At 40.8% G+C, this 22015-nt stretch overlaps 1 long non-coding RNA gene across 3 annotated transcripts in view; it reads right to left on the reverse strand.

Annotated features, from left to right (window-relative positions):
* The window catches only part of LINC02250 (long intergenic non-protein coding RNA 2250), a 122536-nt gene that overhangs the window by 59286 nt on the left and 41235 nt on the right, over positions 1 to 22015 (reverse strand). For 2 of the 3 annotated variants that reach the window (NR_187215.1, NR_187214.1), the window contains exon 2: positions 892 to 1089. The exons of the other annotated variant lie outside the window; for it this stretch is intronic. This is a non-coding gene — a long non-coding RNA (long intergenic non-protein coding RNA 2250). The remainder of the gene's footprint in view (positions 1 to 891; positions 1090 to 22015) is intronic. 3 annotated transcript variants of the gene reach the window in all.

The following is a 22015-nucleotide window of genomic DNA, read 5'->3' on the forward strand; positions in this document are numbered from 1 at the left end:
TCTTAGTTTTGCCTCTCTCCGCAGAGAAAGACTTTCTAAAAAACAAAAAACTCAAAAAACAACAACAAAAAAACCCTCAGTGGGGTGAATCTGCTGAAGAAGCAGGGAGACCTGGCCAGAAGCTGCCTTGGGGTGACATAAGGGAGCTGTGATGCCCTGCTGGCCTGGGACAGCACATGTGTGCACTGTGACACGGGGAAACTTCAGGAGCAGGGCCTGGGAGATGGCACTCAGCACGGCGAGGGAGTTGTGCCTTAGGATGGCCTGGATAGGGCAGTTTGCCTGTGAATGGGGAGGGTGATGGGAGTCACTGGCTTGCTACAGGTTGCACGTTCTGCCTGTGAGGTCATGCAGGAGGGTGGAGAGCCATCCACGACATGCCAGTCAATGGGAAAAATACCGTCTCAGTAGTACTTTTGAATTGTTTGAGTACTTGCTTAAGGTGAGCAAGGACCTTAACCTTGACCAAACTTTAGTGAGGCTCCTTAGTGCCGTCCCCCCAACCCCGTTTTTTTTTTTTTTTATTTTACCTTATCCTTGGTCCTGTCTTTGGTTTGCCTAGCCCAGTGCTGACAAGAAACCCTGTTGTCTGTTTAACAAGAGTCCCTGTACCCTTGATGCCTAATCAAGTTCCTGGTGTGAATTTTCCATTTGTTCCTTCCCTCTGCTGATTATCCCCACCTGTCCCTGTTGTATGCAGTCGATGAGTTCAAGCTCTCTCCCATTGACAATAGACTTAAATGAAGTCTTCCTTTCTGTTTTAAAAAGTGTCAGAATAACTTCTCTTTTACATGGCCTAGGGCCTAACACTCTAGAAGCCCCATTAGTGTAATTCCTTTCTCCCTTCAACCGCATTTATCCATTTCCCCTCTGCCCCCTACCCTTCCTCACCTCCAGGTGCAGTTGAAAGCCATGCTCCATTAAGTGGAGAGAGATTTGACCAGAGCCTGAGTAGGGAATATCTCTGTGTGCCTTTTTTGTCCATCTTAGAGGCATCTGATTGTAACACAAGCTGGAAGGGTTTTATGGGGTGATCTCTTCTTCCTTGAACATGGTTCACTCTTCAATATCAAGAACTCTGTGCAATCTCTTGAAATAATTAAAATAGAGTGGATGGTTAGGTGATGTTGCTGCCTGCCAACCTTCTGAATGAGGACCTGGCGTTCAGAAACTAGCTCAAATGTGTCACTCTTGGTATTTTTTCTTTGAAATTCCCCAACATTGTTTGAGTCCACCCTTCACATTTAATGTATTAAGACCTTATACATTGTAAGACATAGCGAGTTATTGGATAAGAAATTGTGAACACATCACTTTGACTTGTAAGGATTCATGTCATACCCCAAATGGATGAGTTGACTCTCAGGGATTGTAATTAATGGGCTTCACCAACGATACCTGCTAATGGACAAAGGGTCATTCAGCACAGACAATAACTTTGTCCCAAGTATGTGTTTTATAAGGTGGTGGCTGAACTTTAAGTCAGAGGTAGGAATATCATGGACAAAAGAAAAATATTCTCTAATTTTCTATTCTGAAATCGATTTCCAGCATGAGAATGGCATACAGTGCATACAGCATTCCCCTGCCACTGAACGCTCATGCCCAGCTGCATTTAGGTTTTGAAGGAGGCCTACTTTGAGGTTCAGGATGTGTAACAGCCCTATGTTGGCGTTACTGTTAAAAAGTGAATCCAGCCCCAGCTTCCTGCGGATAGTTTGAGTTTATGCCTTTGTCTCAGCATTTTTATTGATAGTGCCTTGTTCACCCTCAAAGATAGTCAGTTTTGGCTGATTTTTAGATCATAGGGTTACCCTAGTTACAGCACGTTGATGAAGATGTTGTACAGAGTCCTTTTCATGAGGACTTTTCTCATTTTCTTAATCCTCAAGACCAAGGATGTTTGTACTACTTCTTATTAACAATTTTGTCATTATGTTGGAGACAAGGAGTGATTCATATAACAGATCAAATTTCTGTTTTTGCACTGAGTTTGTGGGAAACTCAGAACTATCTCTAGTAATTCTACAGGTCTACCGTCTATGCATTTTTGTTTGTTTGTTTGTTTCTGAGATGGAGTTTCGCTTTTGTTGCCCAGGCTGGAGTGCAATGGCACGATATCTGCTCACCACAACTTCCGCCTCCCGGGTTCAAGCGATTCTCCTGCCTCAGCCTCCTGAGTAGCTGGGATTACAGGCATGTGCCACCACACCCGGCTAATTTTGTATTTTTAGTAGAGATGGAGTTTCTCCATGTTGGTTAGCCTGGTCTCAAACTCCCGACCTCAGGTGATCCACCCGCCTCGGCCTCCCAAAGTGCTGGGATTACAGGCGTGAGCCACCACGCCCGGCCCCCTCTGTGCATTTTTATATGATCTCAGTCTATTTGCTCCAAATTCTTGACTTTTTGCCTATAGCATTGTTTTTAATTTTTCAGACTGCCTTGAATTGACTCTGGACAAGACAATTATAAAACAATTATAAAGGCTAAATTTAACATTCATAGGCAAAAATGAACCTTAGCCTAAGTCTTGTACATTATCTAAAAACAAATTCAAAATGGAGCATAGACATAAATCTATACAACATTTTTTAAAATAGGGGAAAATGTTTGTGATCTAAGGCTAGGCAAGAGTTCTTAGACTAGACACCAAAAGCAAGATCTATTTTTTAAAAAGTTTGTAAACTGGGCTTTATTAAGTTTGAAAATGTTTTCTTTTCTACGAAACACTTTGTGAAGAAAATGGAAATACAAGCTACAGACTTGAAAAAAACATTTTCAAACCACACATCTGACAAAGTACTCCTATCTAAAATATAGAAAGAACTCTGAACTCAACAGAAAACAACAAGAATCGAATATGAAAATGGGAAAGAGACAAACATTTCATCAGGGAGTATATTCAAATGGCAAATAGCCTATGAAAGGTGTTCAACATCATTAGCCATTAGGAAAATGCAAACTAAAACCACAGTGAAATATTGCCACACACTTAACAGAAGGGCTGTTAGAAAGAAGGAAAGTGCCGCATGCTGGTGAGGATGCCGGGATGCAGCGACCAGATCGCTTACGTTTTGCTGGTGGTGATGTGAAATAGCACAGCCTCTAAAGAAAACATTTGGGCAGTTTCTTCAAAAACCAAACCTGTAGCTACCATGACACTCAGCTGTTACACTCCTGAGCATTTAACCAGGTGAAATGAAAACATGTTCTATATAAAAACCTGTGCCCCAATGTTTACAGCAGCTTTATTTGTAGTAGTCAAACAAACTGAAAACAGCTCAGATGTCCTTCAACAGGTGAATGGTTCAACAAACTGGTACACCCCTGCCATGTAATGCTACTTCTGCAGTAAGAAAGAATAAACTATTGCTATGCTGAAAAGCTTAGCTGAATCTCCAGAAAAGTATGTGGACCAAGAAAGGCCAATCCCAAAAGGATACATATCATATAATGTTATATATGTATAATATTCTTGAAAAATTACAGAAATTGAGATGACATGAATGTTTGCCAGGAGTTAAGGAGAGGTATAGGTGAGAGGAAAGTGTTGGTTGCAGGTAAAGGTCACCATGATAGAACCTTGTGGTGATAGAAATGTTCTGTATCTTCGCTGTATTGATGCCAGTATTCTGGTCGTGATACTGCACTGTAGTTTTGAGGAACTGTCATGCTTTTCTTCGTAGCAGCAGCACTATTTTTTATTCTCACTAGCAGTGCCGAAATGTCCCAATATCTCCACATCCTCACCAACATCTGTCTTTGTTTGTTTTGATAATTGGCATCCTAATGGGTATGAAGTGGTTGTAGTGTAGCTTTGCAAAATGCTACTACCATTGGGGGAAATTGGGGAAATGGTACACAGGATCTCTCTGTATTATTTCTGAACAAGTTTCATGTGAGTTTATAATTATCTCAAAATCTGAAATTAATTAAAAAGTGACATGCTTATTGCCAAAATTAGACAGCAATGAAAAATGTAAAGATGAAAATAAAAACCACTAAGAGGAGGCAGCATTTGGTGGCTTTGGAGGCAAAAATCTTAGGTGTGATTTCTTACATCACCATGGTTTAGCTTTTTTGGCCTCTGTTTTCTTATCAATAAAATGGGAATGATATTAGTGTGAAGAATTGTTAAGAGGTCTAACAATTTACCATAGTTGCAAACTAACAAATTAGTCTGCTGCAGTTTCACGAATGCTAGGAAGAAGACCCATGATTCCTGGGCCAGAACACAGCAGGATCCACAGCAGCAGGTGTCACTCAGTTCTCTAAGCCCCACTTTCCCCCGGGAAGCACAGGAGGGCAAGGCAGTGACTCTACCTTCAGTGTTTGAGTTATAGTAGAGTAGCTTAGGGAACTCAAAACATTCATATCAGGCAGTTAGCTTGCCTGACCTTCGCCTGGAGATATTTTTATTATATTGGACAATAAACCCAATTGCCTTATCTCTGCCTTACAAGGCTAAACTTCCCTTGAAAGGATGGATCGTTCCCAACAAAGAAAGTTGGTCCCTCTGCTTGAAAACATTGCCAAAATTCAATAGACACATGGGAAATTGTCTACCAGCCATTACATATGTCAAGATATTTCTGTGAGGTTGTTTCTTCAGGGGAGGAAAGAGTAAAGGCCTCACAGGTAAAGGCTTACACAGTGCCTGGTATATGGTGACTCCTGAATAAAATTTAGTTTCCATCTTTTAAAAAATTTTTACAATCACAGACAGCTCTTCCAGTCAGCTGGTCATGTCATATATCTTTCCACCTACACTTTCCATCAAATTTCAATGATTTCTGGCCTACGTCTGAAATGCCAGTGTCTTTAACCACTTTTCCTTTCTTTATCTCCTTGTTCTTCAAGAAATCAAGAAGTTCCAGAAAATAGCTATAGAGGATGGTAGGAAGCTGCCAGCTTCGTTTCTCAGGATAAAGTTGATGAAATTATCTGTGATTCTAACAGCTTTTCAGATTGTGAAAGATTCAATTCCATCTACTTGGGCCAGTAATAGCTTTTAAAACTCTATATTCCTGAGTTGCTTCCTAGTTTATTTTTGTCCTAAATCTTATTTTAGAAGTATAGATTTAAGTATTTTTAAAAAATGGAATGAATAAAGAGGTGGGACTTGCTCATGAGAATTCAAAGTAGAAGGTTTGGTGGGAAATGAGTTTGAAGTGAAAACTTACCTTTCATACGGTCACATTTCAATGTTTCATTATGGCTAGGGGACCACAAAGGAAAGACTGGAGGATATTACTAGAAACTTTCCCTCATAACAAATATTTCTCTCCCAATTCAGTCTTTTCAACTCTGCATAAGCCGAGACTTAGGACCCTGGACAGGAATCTACCAAGATCTCAGTTCTTAGAAAAGTCTAGTGAAGATTTTTAAAATTTCTGTCCAAATAAATGGTCTCTGATATTCTTAGTGATTCTTCCAACTTAAGGTGTAGGCAAAAGAGAAGGTGAAATAATCTTCTTCACTTTCTATTGAGATAGAACACTCCAGTACCCAATTTAGTTTACTTTTCCCTTTAGAAAACATTGTCCCTTTAGAGTTAACAGAAGCATGACACCGCATGTTTCTCTAAACTCTAAAGGGACAGTATTTCCAGGTGGTTATAATTTTCTTATGATAGAACTAGTAGAAATATGGAAGGAATGCCTGTTGTTTTGGAACCAAGACATTTTAGAGGCCACCTCCATTAGTAGTTAGTTCAAACGAGACTTTTTAAAAGCCCTCTACTGAACTTTCTGCCTAAAACTGCGTGAGCTGCGGGAGGAGAAGTGAACAGCCACAGTCTCTACATTTTAGTATCAGGTATTCTAACTGACAGCAAAAGAAACATGTGGAATTCGGTCAGGTGGACAAAGGTAAGCTAGGGAGACAAAGGAGGGTTGCAGGCAAGGGGTGCTCCAGAGGTGGAGAGATATCATGGGAATTAAAACCACCCTAAATCAAAAATACATAAAAAAGAAACTGGACAGCTCAGAGCCGACTGCAGGTAAGAAGTTTCAATGTATCCACCATTTAATAGGCCAGGCTCTTGATTTAAAGGGATAGACTCCGTTTAGTGGAGCATGCATGATTTAAGAGACAGCCTTCCAAAAGCACAACTTCTGGAGGGAGAGTAAAGGAAAAAGAGAAGGAAAAAGCATCTTCCAGCAATCGGGCAATGATGAGGAAAAGAAGTAAAGGGGAAGAGTTAGGTTCTTCCAGACAGAAGCACCACAAACCCTCCACCATCGCTGAAACAAAGAAGCAAAGAAACAAAAACAAAAGCCCTATTATAAATTACCTGAACTTTGCTAGACAGAAGAATGTACCATTAAACCAGGAATCATTTAAAGCACCTCAATATCATTGAAATGAACAAGAAAAAAATTAAATCCATAGAGAACTTGATTTGCAGAAAGTCACGAAATGAACTTTTACACAAATTTGTCCTCAAAAAATAATCATAAAGAAGAAGAAAACTGGAAATCTACATTTCAAACAGAATTGTGTGTACTCAAATATTTTACGATATGATAAAACACATTGGAATAGAAACTCAAAAACTAGAAACAGAAATGGACAATAAACAAGGAGAAAGTTTTTAAAAGTTGATTGAATTCAGAAGGAAATGGAAGAAAAAGACAAAATTATCTCAGAAATAAAAATTAAATTACAGAATGCCCAAAGGAGAATAGCGTCAAATGCAGATTTTAGTAAAGAGCATCAGAGAAAGGCAGGAAGACACCCAGCAGAATGAAATTGGCATAAAGAGAGCCAGCCACAGTGGCTCACACCTGTAATCCCAGCACTTTGGGAGGCTGAGGTGGGTGGATCATTTGAGGTCAGGAGTTCAAGACCAGCCTGGCCAACATGGTGAAACCCCATCTCTACAAAAATACAAAAATTAGCGGAGCATGGTGGCAGGAGCCTGTAATCCCAGCTACTCAGGAGGCTGAGGTGGGAGAATCACTTGAACCCAGGAGGTGGAGGTTGCAATGAGCTGAGATCATGCCACTGCACTCCAGCCTGGCATGGAAGTGCCGGGAAAGTGCCAAGAGGAAAGAAGGAAGGAAGGAAGGAGGGAAGGAAGGAAGGAAGGAAGAAGTGGGAGAAAAAGTAGGGGAAATGGAAGATAGGCTAAGAAGGAATAATATTTCTATTATTGAAGTCCCTGAAGAAGAAAACCATGTCAACATAGCAGAACTAATATTTAAAATTGCAATCCAAGAAATGTTTCCCAAATTAGAAAAAGACCTGAATCTACATATTGAAAGGACTGACTGGCTACCTGGGAAAATTAACCAAGAATGATCAACTCTGAGAAAATATTCAGATTATGCATCTGACAAAGAACTAGTGTCCAGAATCTACGAGGAACTCGAACAAATCAGCAAAAAAAAAAATCCCATCAAAAAGTGGGCAAAGGACGTGAATAGACGTTTCTCAAAAGAAGATATACAAACAGCCAACAAACATATGAAATAATACACAACAACACTAATTATTAGGGAAATGCAAATTAAAACCACAATGAATACCACCTTACTCCTTCAAGAATGGCCATAATTAAAAAGGCAAAAAAGCAGAACAATTCACAATTGCAAGGATATGGGACCAATTTAAGTGCTCACTGATCAATGAGTGGATAAAGAAAATGTGGTATATATACACCATGGAATACAACTCAGCCATAAAAAGGAACAAAATAATGTCTTTTGCAGCAACTTGGATGGAGCTAGAGGCCATTGTTCTAAATGAAGAAACTCAGGAATGGAAAACCAAATACAGTATGTACTTACTTATAAGTGGGAGCTAAGCTATGAGGATGCAAAAACATACAGAGCAATATAATGGACTGTGGGAAATCCAAGGTGGGAGGAGGTAGGAAAGAGGGTGAAGCATAAAAAACAGCATTGGGTACAGTGTACACTGCTCGGGTGACAGGTGAACTAAAATTTCAGAATTCACCACTAAAGAACTCATCCATGTAACCAAAAACCACCTGTACCCAAAAAACTATTGAAAATAATAATAGTGAAAAAATAAATAAAATATTTATCCATAAAAATTACTAACATTCTTTTTTGTGACCTAAGCCATAGAATAAGATAAATATTCATGAGTCCATGCCATTATATATGGACAAATAAATAAATCGGAGAGAAGAGGCAGCTCTTCCTCACAGTAGAATTTCCAAATAATTAATGTAGACAGAAGAAGGGAAATAGAGAATCACTGTTAGGCAAACACCATAAAATTAAATGTATGCAAGAACCACCAATAAATGCTAAAATTAGTCAATAGAATTAAATGTATACAAGATCCACTAATATATGCTAAATTTAGTCGCATAAGTTGAGAAGAAACTTTGAGGATCTGTATAGTCTCAAAGTATCTCCCTCAATACACTTAACAATTATAAAACGAAAGATAGTAACTTTACAGTGGAAAAAAATAGCAGGCACCAACTCAACCAAGTGATTAAGGTAAACCAGAAAGAACTGAGGAACGGTTACAGACTATAATAGAACAGATGAAATAGCAAATAAATACAGTGTGGGATCCTGGATAGAATTCCGGAACAAAAATACAAAGTCAAAAAATTTTAAAACACATGAAAAGATGCTCAAAATAATTGGTCATTAGGAATTGCAGATGAAACCACAATAAGATATAATTAAGTACATGTTAGACTGGATTAAAAATACTGACAACACCAAATGCTGGTGAGGATACGGTACCACAGTAACCTGCTGGTGAGAATGCAAAATGGTATAGTCTGGAAAACAGTTTGGAATTTTCTTAAAAATTTAAACACATGCAACATCAAGAGTATACCCTTATGTGAATTATGGACTTTGGGTGACTGTGACATGTCAATGGAGGTTCATCAATTGTAACAAATGTGCTGCTCTGGTAGGGGATGTTGATGATGGGGGAGGCTGTGCATGGTTGGGGCAGGGGCTCTATAGGATCTCTGTACATTGTACTCAATTTTGCTGTGAACCTGAAACTGCTCTGAAAAATAAAGTCCAATAAATGTTTTAAGTTAAACATACACTTATGACCCCAGAAATCCTACCTCTAGATATTTATCTTAGAGAAATAAAAAGTTGTGTTTATAGAAAAATTTGTTTGTGGATATTTATAGCTATCTTATCCATAATTACCCCAAACTGGAAGCAATTTAAATGTCTTTCAGTGTGTGGCCGACTAAACAAACTGTGGTACATCCAGACAATGGAATATTATTCACCAATAAAAAAGGAGTGAACTCCTGATATTTTGAATAACACAGATGAATCTTAAAATGCCTTATGCTAACTAAAAAGGCAGTTTCAAAATGCTGCAAACTATACTATTCTATTTATATGATGTTGAGAAAGGGAAAAATACAGAAATAGAGAATAGATTAGTGGTTTCAGGGGTTAGAGGTAAGATGAGGGTTTAAATATTGAGGATCAGTGCAAGGAGAATCTTCAAGGTATTCGAATTTTTCTGTATCTCAGCAGGGGTGGTGGCTCACACCTGTAATCCCAGCATTTTGGGAGGCTGGGGCGGGCAGATCACTTGAGGTCAGGAGTTCAAGACCAGCCTGGCCAACATGGTGAAACCCCCATCTCTACTTATAAAAATTAGCTGGGTGTGGTGGTAGGTGCCTGTAATCCCAGCTACTCGGGAGGCTGAGGCAGGAGAATCACTTGAACCCGGGAGGCAGAGGTTGCAGTGAGCCCACAACTTGGGCAACAGAGCAAGACTCTATCTCAAAAAAAAAAAAAAAAAAGAATTTAAAAAATATCTTCAGTGGTAGCTACAATCATCTATGCACTTTTAGAAACTCGTTGACCTGGAACCCCTAAACGTGGATTTTATTGTGTGTAAACTTAAAAGGCTAAAATAAATCACCCCAGTAGACCCAGGCCAACTTCAGTTCTTTATTTCCCATGATTCAGTCATTCCTATCCCACCTGTGTGACTGCCGGGCCTGTGTGCCACACAATGCCCACCCATTATTACTTAATTATTTCATTTAAATCATTGAATTTCTTTCAAAAAGGAGTATATACTACCTTTGAATTCACTGGATTGATGTGCTAGCTATATTTTTTCAACAAATTGTAATATACATATATAGCTATTTAAACAGACAACATATGACCAGAAAATATGTTAGGAAAAAGTAATAGATCATTGGCTCTTGACAGGATCCTTAAAGATAATCTGGTCTAATTCAGTCATTTTTCAAATGATGTGTGTGAGGGCTGTGCCGTCTTGGCCAAGCAGTGCTATCGGAAGCTGCTTCTCCATGACTCAGAGGCAACATTGCTTCTGCCTGGACCCAGCACTTCCTGAGGCTGGAGAGCACTCCTGGCTCACTCCTGATTACCTACTGACAGCTCAGTGCCTGGCACTGAGTAAGTGCTCAAAAAGTACTTCCTTTGTGGAATTAGATGTGGGAAAGGCACCGGAGTGTCTTTACGGAGAAGGAAGTGCATTCACTGTGGGGGTTCCCATGGCTCCTTGGAGTTTCAGTTTTGATCCTACGTCGACTAGGTTGGGAGTAACTCATCGTCGTTTTTGTCCTTTTTAAGTAGGACTGTTACAGGTCTGCTCACCACTACATACATGGAAAATTGATACAGGAGATTGTTAAGTGGTTCTAGCTCTGGCGGAAATATGGAAAAGAATGTTTGTTCAGAAAAATTTAAAAATCAAGAGAAATTAAAAAATGTCTTTGTACCCCCCCTTTATATGTTAAATCATTTTGTCCATTTAAATGTACTTCCTTTTTAAAAAGTCTTCCTCTTTAGAAAGTGCTGATTTTCCAGGAAAATAAGCTAACCGTCCATTTCTAATTAAAACATTCAGTAGAACTGTACCGTAGCTTGGTGTGTGCATGGCTGGGTGTGAAGAATTAGTATAATAATAACTGAACCCATATGCAACTGCCCTGATGGCCATGTAATATGAAAGATGTATCCTACCACACAGCAATACCTGGGGTGCAGGTTTTTTCTGCTGCAGGCTAAAGGCCAATGTCTACCTATCGACCCAGAAGGCTGGCAGTGTTTTGGCTGAAGTCTCACTCAGCATATTCCTCCTTTGAGTGGTAACTTCCTTCCTTTATTTGAAAATGTATAATTTAATACCTCATATTGCTATAGCATTTTTATGCAGGGTGGATCCAAGTTTTGGGAAGCCTAAAGCTCCTACAGTTTTTGTGATCCTCATTAACAAAAGAATAGATGACTACAAATACAAAATTAAGTACAATGGAGAATATATTTTAGAATGAGAAAACAAATCTCAACAAATTACAAATGTTTAGAAGCTGAAAAAAATCACAAAATCCAGGAAAGCTACATCATATTTTTATTAACTCCCTGTCACATTTCATCATACTTCTTTCTTGCATTTTTTGTCTATGTACTCTTTGATCAATTTTGTAGTGCCATTTGCATAGAGAGGTTAGAAAGATCCTTCAGTCTTTCTTCTGATAGATTTTCATTTTTATTTATTATTGGTACTTGGGATGCATAAAACATGCAACTCTATATAGAGATATACCCCCTATTTGCAGTATTGATTGGAAGAAGCCTACACATATAAGAATTCTGATCAATACTATTTTGTGCAATTCTTATCAAAAAGGAAAAACCAAACCACCTGGTTTATGATCCTCACCGCGTGTGTTTCTAAGAGACAGAGACATTTTGTTTTGACTGTTGCCTGTGGTGATTGACTCCTGGGCTCACGATTCTCAAGTCTGATGATGATTAGGCCTGAACATCTCACTGCCCACACATTTCTGTTGCCATGATTCATGGCTTAGAGGAGGGTAGAGGATTCCTGCTGGCAGAACTGGTTTCAAAATCACTCAGTAAATCCAGCCTTGGTGCTTTACATTTCAGTTTAGGTTATAGGGGTGTTTGGCATCTATTCCATTTTCTTTAGCTGAAACTATGACAAAAGCATAACCCTTGAACACCCTATTACAAAAACTTGTGGAACCATGTATCTTCATCTATTTTTCTTTTAATGCAATCAAGATTATATCAAGTATTGCAGGCCTTGCACCCCTGAGCTGCACCCCTGAAACAAAAGCCCCTAGAGAGCACCCTGATTTGCCCCTGGCCTCGCTGATGTTTTTGTTGTCACTGCTTTGGACTGTGGCCCCCCTGTTGTCATTGGATTTCCATCTGCTTCTAATCTCGCACCACCTTCGTGGTGACACCCTTTCCCAACAGGTATGAAGAGGTTTCCTGCATCACACAACTTACTGGATTTCAGGTTTTCTTTGCAATCGCACAAGTTGAAATATTTGGATGGTGGTGACAGTGGAGGTGATAGTATCAGTGGTTGAGAGGTTGGTGAAGGTGGTATTTGAGGTGGTGGTGGTGGTAGGGGTCGTGGAGGTGGACACTGTGGAGGTGGAGGTGGTGGAGTTGGTGGAGGGACAGGGTGGGTGGAGGTGGTGGAGTCAGTGGAGGGGCAGTGATGGCGGAGGTGGTGGAGTCAGTGGAAGGACAGTGATGCTGGAGGTGGTGGAGTCGGTGGAAGGACAGTGATGGTGGAGGTGGTGGAGTCGGTGGAGGGACAGTGATGGTGGAGGTGGTGGAGTCGGTGGATGGACAGTGATGGTGGAGGTGGTGGAGTCGGTGGAGGGACAGTGATGGCGGAGGTGGTGGAGTCGGTGGAGGGACAGTGATGGCGGAGGTGGTGGAGTCGGTGGAGGGACAGTGATGGTGGAGGTGGTGGAGTCGGTGGAGGGACAGTGAGGGTGGAGGTGGTGGAGTCGGTGGAGGGACAGTGATGGCGGAGGTGGTGGAGTTGGTGGAGGGACAGTGATGGTGGAGGTGGTGGAGTTGGTGGAGGGACAGTGCGGGTGGAGTCGTTGGGTGACCAGCAGGGGTAGTGGTGTGGGTGGTGGAGGTGAAACCTGTAAGGCTGTGCCAGAGCAAACCCAAGGCCCTCATCTGCATCCTCTGTGCTCCAGAGTATGGACTTTCACAGACCACAGCCTCCACTGAAGACGAGCTCCCAGGGAAAACAACTCTGAGCAGAAAACACAAAAGGGAGTTTGCATCCCAAGGCCCAGACTGAAGCTCTAAAAGAGACCTTGGAAAGAGAGGAGAGAGATCATCTAGAGAAACCTCCCAAAAATAAGGCATACCATCCCTCTGATGGTTGAAACACACTTAGTTCTGGGCAGAATAAATGAAAACAAATTCATACCTCGATATATTGCAGTGAATTTTCTGAACTTCAAAAACAATGAGAAAATCTTAAAAGTCACTGAGATAAATGACAGATTGAGGAAAGGAAGCAGGCGGGCAGCTGGTGGTCTTCCAAGCACTATAGCTGATCAGCAACCAGAGATTCCAGAGAAACATGGAATGATACCTTAAAGTGCTGAGGCTAACTAACTGCTGAGCACAAAGGATATTTTTTCAGGCACACACAGGGATTCTGAAAGTGTAAACACGAGTCCCAGGCCCTCATTTGAATATTAAAAAAAAACTAAAGCTTGATCTTCAGGAAAAATGGAAACGAATTCAAAAGCAGAGACTGGGATACAGAAAACAATGAAGAAAGAAGTCCGTGAACATGTTGACAAATCCAAATTAGTATTTCTTATAAATAATAACATTGATAACTGATCTAGATGGGTTTTTAAAAGGCAGTGAAACTAAAAGATTAGAAAACAATAAATACAGAAGATAAGAATTTACAAGGATCTAAGTCTGAGAGTCTCATATTCTACAGGGCCAGAACAAAGTGATCTATCAGATTTCAACCATGTTAAAGAATCATGTTGAACACTTAAGAATAACTTCTTAAAGAATATAAGTAGAATGTATAACTTCCAAACCAGTTGGAATAGTATGGGAACAAAGAAAACTTTTCAATGAATTAGAAATCAGGAAAGGAGGAGGGAAAGGAAGCAAAGAAAATGAATGGTAAAGAAAACATATCAATGAGATGGTAGAAATCACTTCAGGTGGACTGGGAAAAGTGGCAGCTCCTATGCCTGTGGCAAGGCCAGGTGTGGGGTTGGACACCTCTCTTCTACAGCACCTCTTCCAAAAATTTATTTATTTATTTTTTAATTTTTATATATTTAGGGAGTACAAGTGCATATATTGTGTCATGGTGAAGTCTGGGTTTTTAGTGTACCCATTACCCAAATAGTAAACATTGTAAAAAATAGGTAATTTTCAACCCTCTGCCACCTCCCACCCTCCCACCTTTCGGAGTCTCCAGTGCCTGTTATTCCACTCTGTATGTCCATGTGTACCCATTCTTTAGCTCCCACTTATAAGTGAGAATATGCAGTATTTCACTTTCTGTTTTGAGTTATTTCACTTAGGATAATGGCCTCCAGTTCCATCTGTGTTGCCGCAATAGACATGATTTCATTCTTTTTCATGGCTGCATAGTATTCCATGGTGTATATGTGACACAATTTTCTTTATCTAGTCCTCTGTTGACGGACACTTAGGTTGAGTCCATGACTTTGCCATTGTGAATAATGCTGTGATAATCATACAAGTGCAGGTATCTTTTTGATATAATAATTTCTCACCCTTTGGCTAGATACCCAGTAGTGGGGTTGCTAGATCAAATGGTAGTTCCATTTTTAGTTCTTTGAGAAAACTTCCTACTGTTTTCCATAAAGCTGTACTAATTTACATTCCCACCAATAGTATATAAGCATTCCCTTTCCTCCACATCCTCTCCAATACCTGTTGTTTTTACACTTTTTAATAATAGTCATTCTGACTGGTGTAAGATGGTATCTCATTGTGGTTTTAATTTGCATTTTTCTGATGATTAGTGATGTTGAGCCTTTTTTCATATGCTTGTTGGCCATTTGTATGTCTTCTTTTGAAAAATATCTATTCATGTCCTTTGCCCACTTTTTTTTTTCTTTTTAGAGATAGGGTCTCCTTCTGTTACCCAGGCAGGGTGCAGTGGCATGATCATAGCTCACTGCAGCCTCGAACTCCTGGGCTCAAGCGATCCTTCCACCTCAGCCTCTCAAGTAGCTGGGACTACAGGCATGTGCCACCACACCTGGCTTATTTTAAAAATTTTTGTAGAGATAGGATCTCTTTGGGTTCAGCATTACAGGGTGATCTGGGAACTTCACAGGCTGGCAGAGGCAGGGACATGGAAGTTAGCAGAGTCATTGGTCTTCCCATGCTGGATTCGATGCCTGCTTCCACTCAACACAACTCATCCTTTCTCTGAGCTCTTGTCTTCATTTTTAAGCCAGTACATTGCACCTTTGTTGCACCTTTGCAGTCCCCTCAAGGTCTGGTACATTGTTGGGTTCAGGGTCAGCTTGGATGGAATAATCCAGCAGGTGTGACCTGAGAGTATGGTACATGTTTTCAATTTTTCAGAGGAAGCAAGCTACACACAATACCAATTTATTTTCTGTTCTCCACTTATCTGTGTTGCAGGTGCTTCCTCATGGGTTGTACCACCCCTGAAGTTTCAGAAATAAATGTATACCCTTCCAGTTAAATGTGGATGAAAAGCAAAGGATGATAGGGTCTCTGGTGCTTGTGACAAAAATGAATTCTTTTCTGCTCCCATTTTCAGGTGGTTATAGAATTTAAAATTGGCCCCTTAAAACACATGAACTCTATAAACCAGATGTGGCACAACCTACTCCTATTTTAGGAAGCTATTTGAAACCTATTCCATCAAAGGGAGCAAAACAGCTTGATGGATAAACCTTCTGCTTTCTCCCAGGGCACATTTCATCTTACCCATTTGTTTTCTTCTTTTGAAAAGAGAGTCAAAGAGAAGGCAGGAATAAGCACCTCTCCACCTGACCTTTTCTTGCTTTGCAAAAAGATGATTCTTGCTGGCCTGGGGTTAGAAGAAAAGAAACCAGCAGTCCTTTAATAGAAATAGGCTAGGCTCCTGGGGAGAACTTGGGCTGAATTTAAAGAGACAGCCTTGACAACCCTCCTCAGTGGGTTCTGAGTGATCCTGGACTGGCCAAGTTAGGAAGTGACTACGGGTGCACAGTATTTGGGAGACTTGGTGTTTGTGCCCTGTCAGCTCCCCTCGGCGTTTCCATGGGAGCTCCACTGGCCTTTCCCAAGCTCCTGCTGGACAAGAAGCACTTCGCCAGTGGCTGAGGTCCAGTACATTGTTGGGTACATGGTCAGCTTAGATGGGTGCAATAATGAAGCCGGCATGACCTGAGCACATGGCACACGTTTTCCATCTTTCACAGGTCAAAAGCTACACACAATGTAAACGTGCTGTCTGTTATCACTAATCTCTCTTCACAGCTTGTTCCTCTTGAGTTTTTCCCTCTTCAATCTTAAATGTCTTTCTTGCAGGTCCTCTTCTCTTTCTGTATTAATCATATTTTTTTTTTACTTTTTTCCATAAGCAATGCCATTATACTCTTGATATTTTTGTGCACTTGAGTGTGGTGACCGTTTTCTGAGCTCCTACTTGGTGCCTTGCACAGCTGGGAGGCTCCTTTGGAACGCATGCCTGGGGCACCTCCCGAGTCCGCGTTTTCACAAGATCATTTTCAATCTGCAGGTGCTCTGCTCACACTTGAATTTTCCTCCAGGAAAGAAATCCTCCAGATGTAAAATCTTTGGCTGCTGCACATGAAGCTACCACTGGTTTTCCTTCATCTTTATTTTTAAAAGGAGGTTGAGATTCCTGAACTTGGTTCTTTTGGATTTGTGGTCTTGCTTCTTGCTCTTAGGAAAGAGCTGGCAGTAGGTATTTTGCTCACATATTGGCCAGTTAGTTCTCCATCCTCTGCATTATGCCCCTAATTTCCCTAAGGTAATCATGCCATTAGCCACAACACTGCCAACAAAAAACAATGCCAAGCCATTAGATAGAGAGGGTGAGCAGGAAGCACCTCATGACAGGGCTGTGGAAGCTTCCCTTGCCTCTATCCCCTGCAGAAAACAGTGTTGACATATTTAAGAAGCTGGCTCTGCATTAAAAAGCATGTCTGCTGAGTTCAGTCTGCAATAACCTCTTCTCTTTTTTACAACCTATTGCTTAGTCTGAACATGCAGTGTATATTAAAGAGGACTTTTTTCTTTTCCTTTAGGACTAGAGTGCTTTAAAGAGAATTCACCAGCTCCATTGTTGGCAAGAAAAGCACGTTCTTTTATATGTAGGTCCCAGATGATACAATCCCAATTCTCTTTTGAACACCAAAAATAGTACAGGCCACGCCAAGATAAGCAGATGTCTTACCCAAAATCCCAAACAAGGTACTTAAACCCTGAAATTAAACAGCCCAGAATACAGTGACCAGAATCTCACCCGTTTGGTTCTTTCTTCATAAAGCTTGGCAGGGGATAGACATGCCCTATTGCATGCAATGTGTGCTCTACTCAAATACTGTTATTTAAAATTAAATGTTTGCAATTGAATTATTTTGCAAATGGGGTGTTTAGTATTAAAGGAATCTTATGGTGAAATTCCTTCATAAAGCAATAAATCTTCCTTGTTTATTTAACTGTAAAATCAATGTAGTAGAATTATGGCAGGCGTGAACAATAAAAAAAATCAATCATCTGTAATCCCCTAACTTGAATATGACTCTTTGCAAATATGCTCTTCTCTAGCTTTTGTGTATTAGGCATATATAGCTTCCTTAATTGAAACTGTGGAATAGAAATAACACTAGGTTCTTCTTTCCCTGTCAAACTAAAAGAAAGAAGCTGAGGCACAAAATATAATTAAAAGAGCTTACTTGAGCCAAAGTGAAGACAGCTGCCTAGAAGACTCAAACGCATGTAACCCTGGCTATGAGCTCCATTTGGCCTTTGTTACAAGCAAATTTATTTATTTATTTATTTATAGACAGTCTCGCTGTGTCACCCAGGCTGGAGTGCAGTGGCTCGATCTTGGCTCACTACAACTGCCGCCTCCCAGCTCAAGTGATCCTCCCACCTCAGCTTCCTGAGTAGCTGGGACCACAGGTGCATGCCACCAGGCCTAGCTAATTTTTTATATTTTTTGTAGAGATGAGGTTTTGCTATGTTACCCAGGCTGGTCTCAAACTCCTGAGCTCAAGCAATCCACCCATCTTGGCCTCCCAAAGTGCTGGGATTACAGGCATGAGCCACTGCACCTGGCCAATTTATTTATTTTTAAAGTTATTTATTTATTTAGAGACAAGGTCTCACTCTGTCGCCCAGGCTGGAGTACAGTGTTGCGATCATGGCTCAACTTCCTGGGCTCAGGTGATCCTCTCACCTCAGACTTCCAAGTAGCTGGGACTTCAGGCACATGTTACCACACCTGGCTAATTTTTGTGGGTTTTATTTATTTATTTATTTATTTATTTATTTATTTATTTATTGTAGAGACAAGGTTTAGCCATGTTTCCCAGGCTAATCTTGAACTCCTGAGCTTAAGCCATCTGCCTGTCTCAGCCTCCCAAAATATTCGGATTACAGGTGTAAGCCAGCACACCTGACCACAAGCAGGTTTTAAAGGCAAAAAAGGGACAAGGAGTAGGCTGATACAAAGTTGTTCGTTAGGAATGCTCATTGATTTACAGAAATAACATTGATTAGAGATTGGCTATCCATTGTTAAACTTTACGGTGTTGTTTACAGTGTCTCGTAAGGCGCTATTAGGTTAATTTATAGCTACCTGTGGCAATAGCAAACGGTTTCAGGAGATGAATACACAGCTCAAAGCAGGGAGTAGGAGGTGATTGTGGTTTCATTTTAATGTCTCTAGGCCTGGTAATTCAAAAGAACTCGTATTCCTCAGTTAAAAGTTATTTTTCTTTTCTCACCATGCCATCTTATATTATTATAACTTGACTATTATTCATTTTTAAAAGTAATTGTACATTCAACTTGCTCTTGATTGTTTTAGCAAGATAGGAAATGCGATGCAAGTTTTGCACCTGCGCACTCCCACCCACATATCACTGACTCACAGCAGCAGCAGTAGGATAGACACGGTCATTTTGTGGATATACGTGAGGCCCTTCAGTGGAGCTAGGGTGGTTCTTGGAACAAAACTAATAGAATATATTTATATATGAAAGGGAGTTTATTAGGGAGAAGTGGCCGCTTGCAAGCTGGGGAAGAAAAAAAGCCAGTAGTGGCTCAGTCCGAGTCCAAAAGCCTCAAAAACAGGGAAGCAGGCAGTGCGGCCTTCAGTTGGTGGATGAAGGCCCGAGAGCCCCTGGCAAATCACTGGTGTAATCCAAGAGTCCAAAGGCCGAAGAACCTGGAGTCTGAGGTCCAAGGACAGGAGGAACGGAAGGAAGCATCCAGCATGGGACAAAGATGAAAAGCCAGAAGACTCAGCAAGCCAGCTCATCCCACCTTCTTCTGCCTGCTTTTTCTAGCTCCACTGGCAGCCAAGTTGGATGGTACCCACTCGCATTGAGGGAGGGTCTTCCTCTCCCAGTCCACTGACTCAACTGTCAGTCTCCCCTGGCAGCAGCCTCACAGACACACCCAGAAACAATACTTTACCAGGCATCTAGGTATCCTTCAGTCCAATCAAACTGACACCTAAGACTATCATACTTGACTACAAGTGAAACGACCTGCTGCCACTCTCCTTAGTCTCCTGTAGAATAATTTTCTTAATAAATTCCCAGGAAGAGTATAGTGGGCCAGAGAACCCTTTTATAATTACCAGCATCACTAATACTTTAAATCTCAATTTTGAACATTTTGAGTTTGCTTTAATAAGGCAAATGACTGTGGCATAACCTTTTCTAGTTTCTTTTTTCCTATATGGCTTTCTCTGATTAACAAGAATGACTTCTTTTTGAACCTTTCAATTTGGCATTTTCTACATGGAATGTCCCTAAATCAAGTAATTTTCACAAAGCAAAGTTTTCAAAAATCAAGGCAGTAGTTGAGACAAAATATTGTATTTGCTATGAAGTGCAAGAAGAAACCTCTTTTGTTGGTAAATCGAGGCCTAAATGCTGATTCCCTGTGTCAGCTGAAGAATTGTGAGGTTCATATATTTGGAAAGGAGAGCTTTATTTCTCATAACAGGTGGCCATCCTGCAGGCTGGGAAGGGTAGCCTCCAGCGCACGCAGAGACAAAGCACTTCGAGGGAAGGGTAGAGGGAGCAGGAATGGGAATGTAGAGGGAGCTGAGTCGGGGGATGAATATGCATATTCAATAAGCTATTGGAGGAGTCATGAATATTTATGAAAGGAAAGACATGTGTACATGTGCAACTGAGCTTCGTGCCCCTTCATGGGTCTCATGTTCAAAAAATGGTGGTGGTGGCATGATCCGAGGGTAGACATTTTGGCCCTCTGATGTCAAAAGGTGAAGCAGAGGACATGAAGCCCCTCAGTGTGCGTCCTCTGAGATTCAGCCAAAACCAGACCAGAAATGGTGGTCAGTTATCAGGAAGAGGTGCATTGTGAAACTGGTGGGCTGTCATGCTGAGACTAAAGAGGGAGGGGGAGTCTGATCCTGCCCTCAGATGATTGGCTAAAGGCGATAAAGGAATAAGTTGTCCACTTCCTGTTTTCCAGTGCTGGATTCTGCTTCCTCCTCAGAGAGAATTCTGGTTTAAGGTTACTGAGGAGGGGCACACTGAGGCGTGTCCCACCTCCTGTTCCCTCACGGACGGGAACTCAATTTCTAAGGTTTCTCTGGGGTCCCCTTGGCCAAGAGGGGGTTGATTTAGTTGGGTGGGGGACTTAGTATTTATTTTCATTTCTTATCTGCCTTATAGGATCCCCAAACAGCAAAAAAAGAAATCCTCAAACTCTCAGATTCAACATTGGGAGTTAGTGTGGGTGTATGTGCCAGGCACTGTGCTAGATACTCCATTAACCTCATCTCCTACAGAGAATATTTAATTAAAAAAGAAAAGGCAACATTCCAGATCTTCTCATTCGGTAGTTATTTGCTAGAGTTTCTTCAGTGAGGCACCCAAAAGCTTGTCTTGTGTTAGACAGATTTGTGCTTCTTTCACTTAATTCTGAAGCATCAATAGAACTGGCGACTTCCTGACCGACCATCATGACTAGACCCGGGGGCAGTGAACATATTGTGGGTGCCTCTGAGTAACTTGTGTTTTTTTCTTGTTAAGTAGGTTTTTAAAATGCGTGTGTGTGTGCGTGTGTGCATGTGCACTGTGACACACAGAAAAGCACACAAAAAATAAATATACCTTATGAGATGTTTGTTGAAATATCTCATAAAGAACACGTGTAACATGATCATGTAGATTCATGAATAGAATATTTCCAGGAACCCCAGAGCTCCCTCCTTTTGAAAGATGGCTAAATGAGTTTTCTCATTGCTCCTGTAGAAGACGAGAATATGCCATCCCAAAATATGTCTCTTTAGCATAAGGATTATTTTGACCTGGTTATTTTGTGAAACTGCAGACACAGGAGAAACTCTGAAAATAAAAGTCGAAGTGACCCTTTTGTAAGGGGAAATTTACATTTGTAGAGAAAATCTCCATTTGCTTGGATGTCTCCTTTTCTGTACCAGGAAGAGAAAGAGGACTCTAAATCACCAGACTCTTATCAATGAAGAGGCAGCCGCTGAAATCTGCATAGCAAACCTGACTCTTGGGTACCCTGCTTTTCCTAGGCACTTGGCCATGACTGGCCTTCCCCACACCCTTCTTTCTCTGTTTTTAGCTTAAGATGGTATTTAAGACCAAATACTAAGACATCTCTTTGAGATTTACTCATTTTTCCCTAGGTATCTCCCATGTATATTTGATGTATTTATGTTGATACAGTCAGTGCTGCATAACTAGATTTCAGACAATACCATATTGCCTAGGGTGAAGTAGGCTGTACCATCTAGACTTGCGTAAGTCCACTCTATGATGTTCATGCAAGGAGGAAATCACCTAATGATGCATTTCTCAGCATGTAACCTTATTGTTGCATGACACGTGGCTGTATAGTCGTTTGTTTTTCTCTGGTTAGTCTATCTTTTGTTACAATGGATCCCAGCTAAGAACTATTTAGAGCTAAGTTATTTT

Source organism: Homo sapiens, chromosome 15 (genome assembly GCF_000001405.40).
Source record: "Homo sapiens chromosome 15, GRCh38.p14 Primary Assembly".
Lineage (NCBI taxonomy): Eukaryota > Metazoa > Chordata > Mammalia > Primates > Hominidae > Homo > Homo sapiens.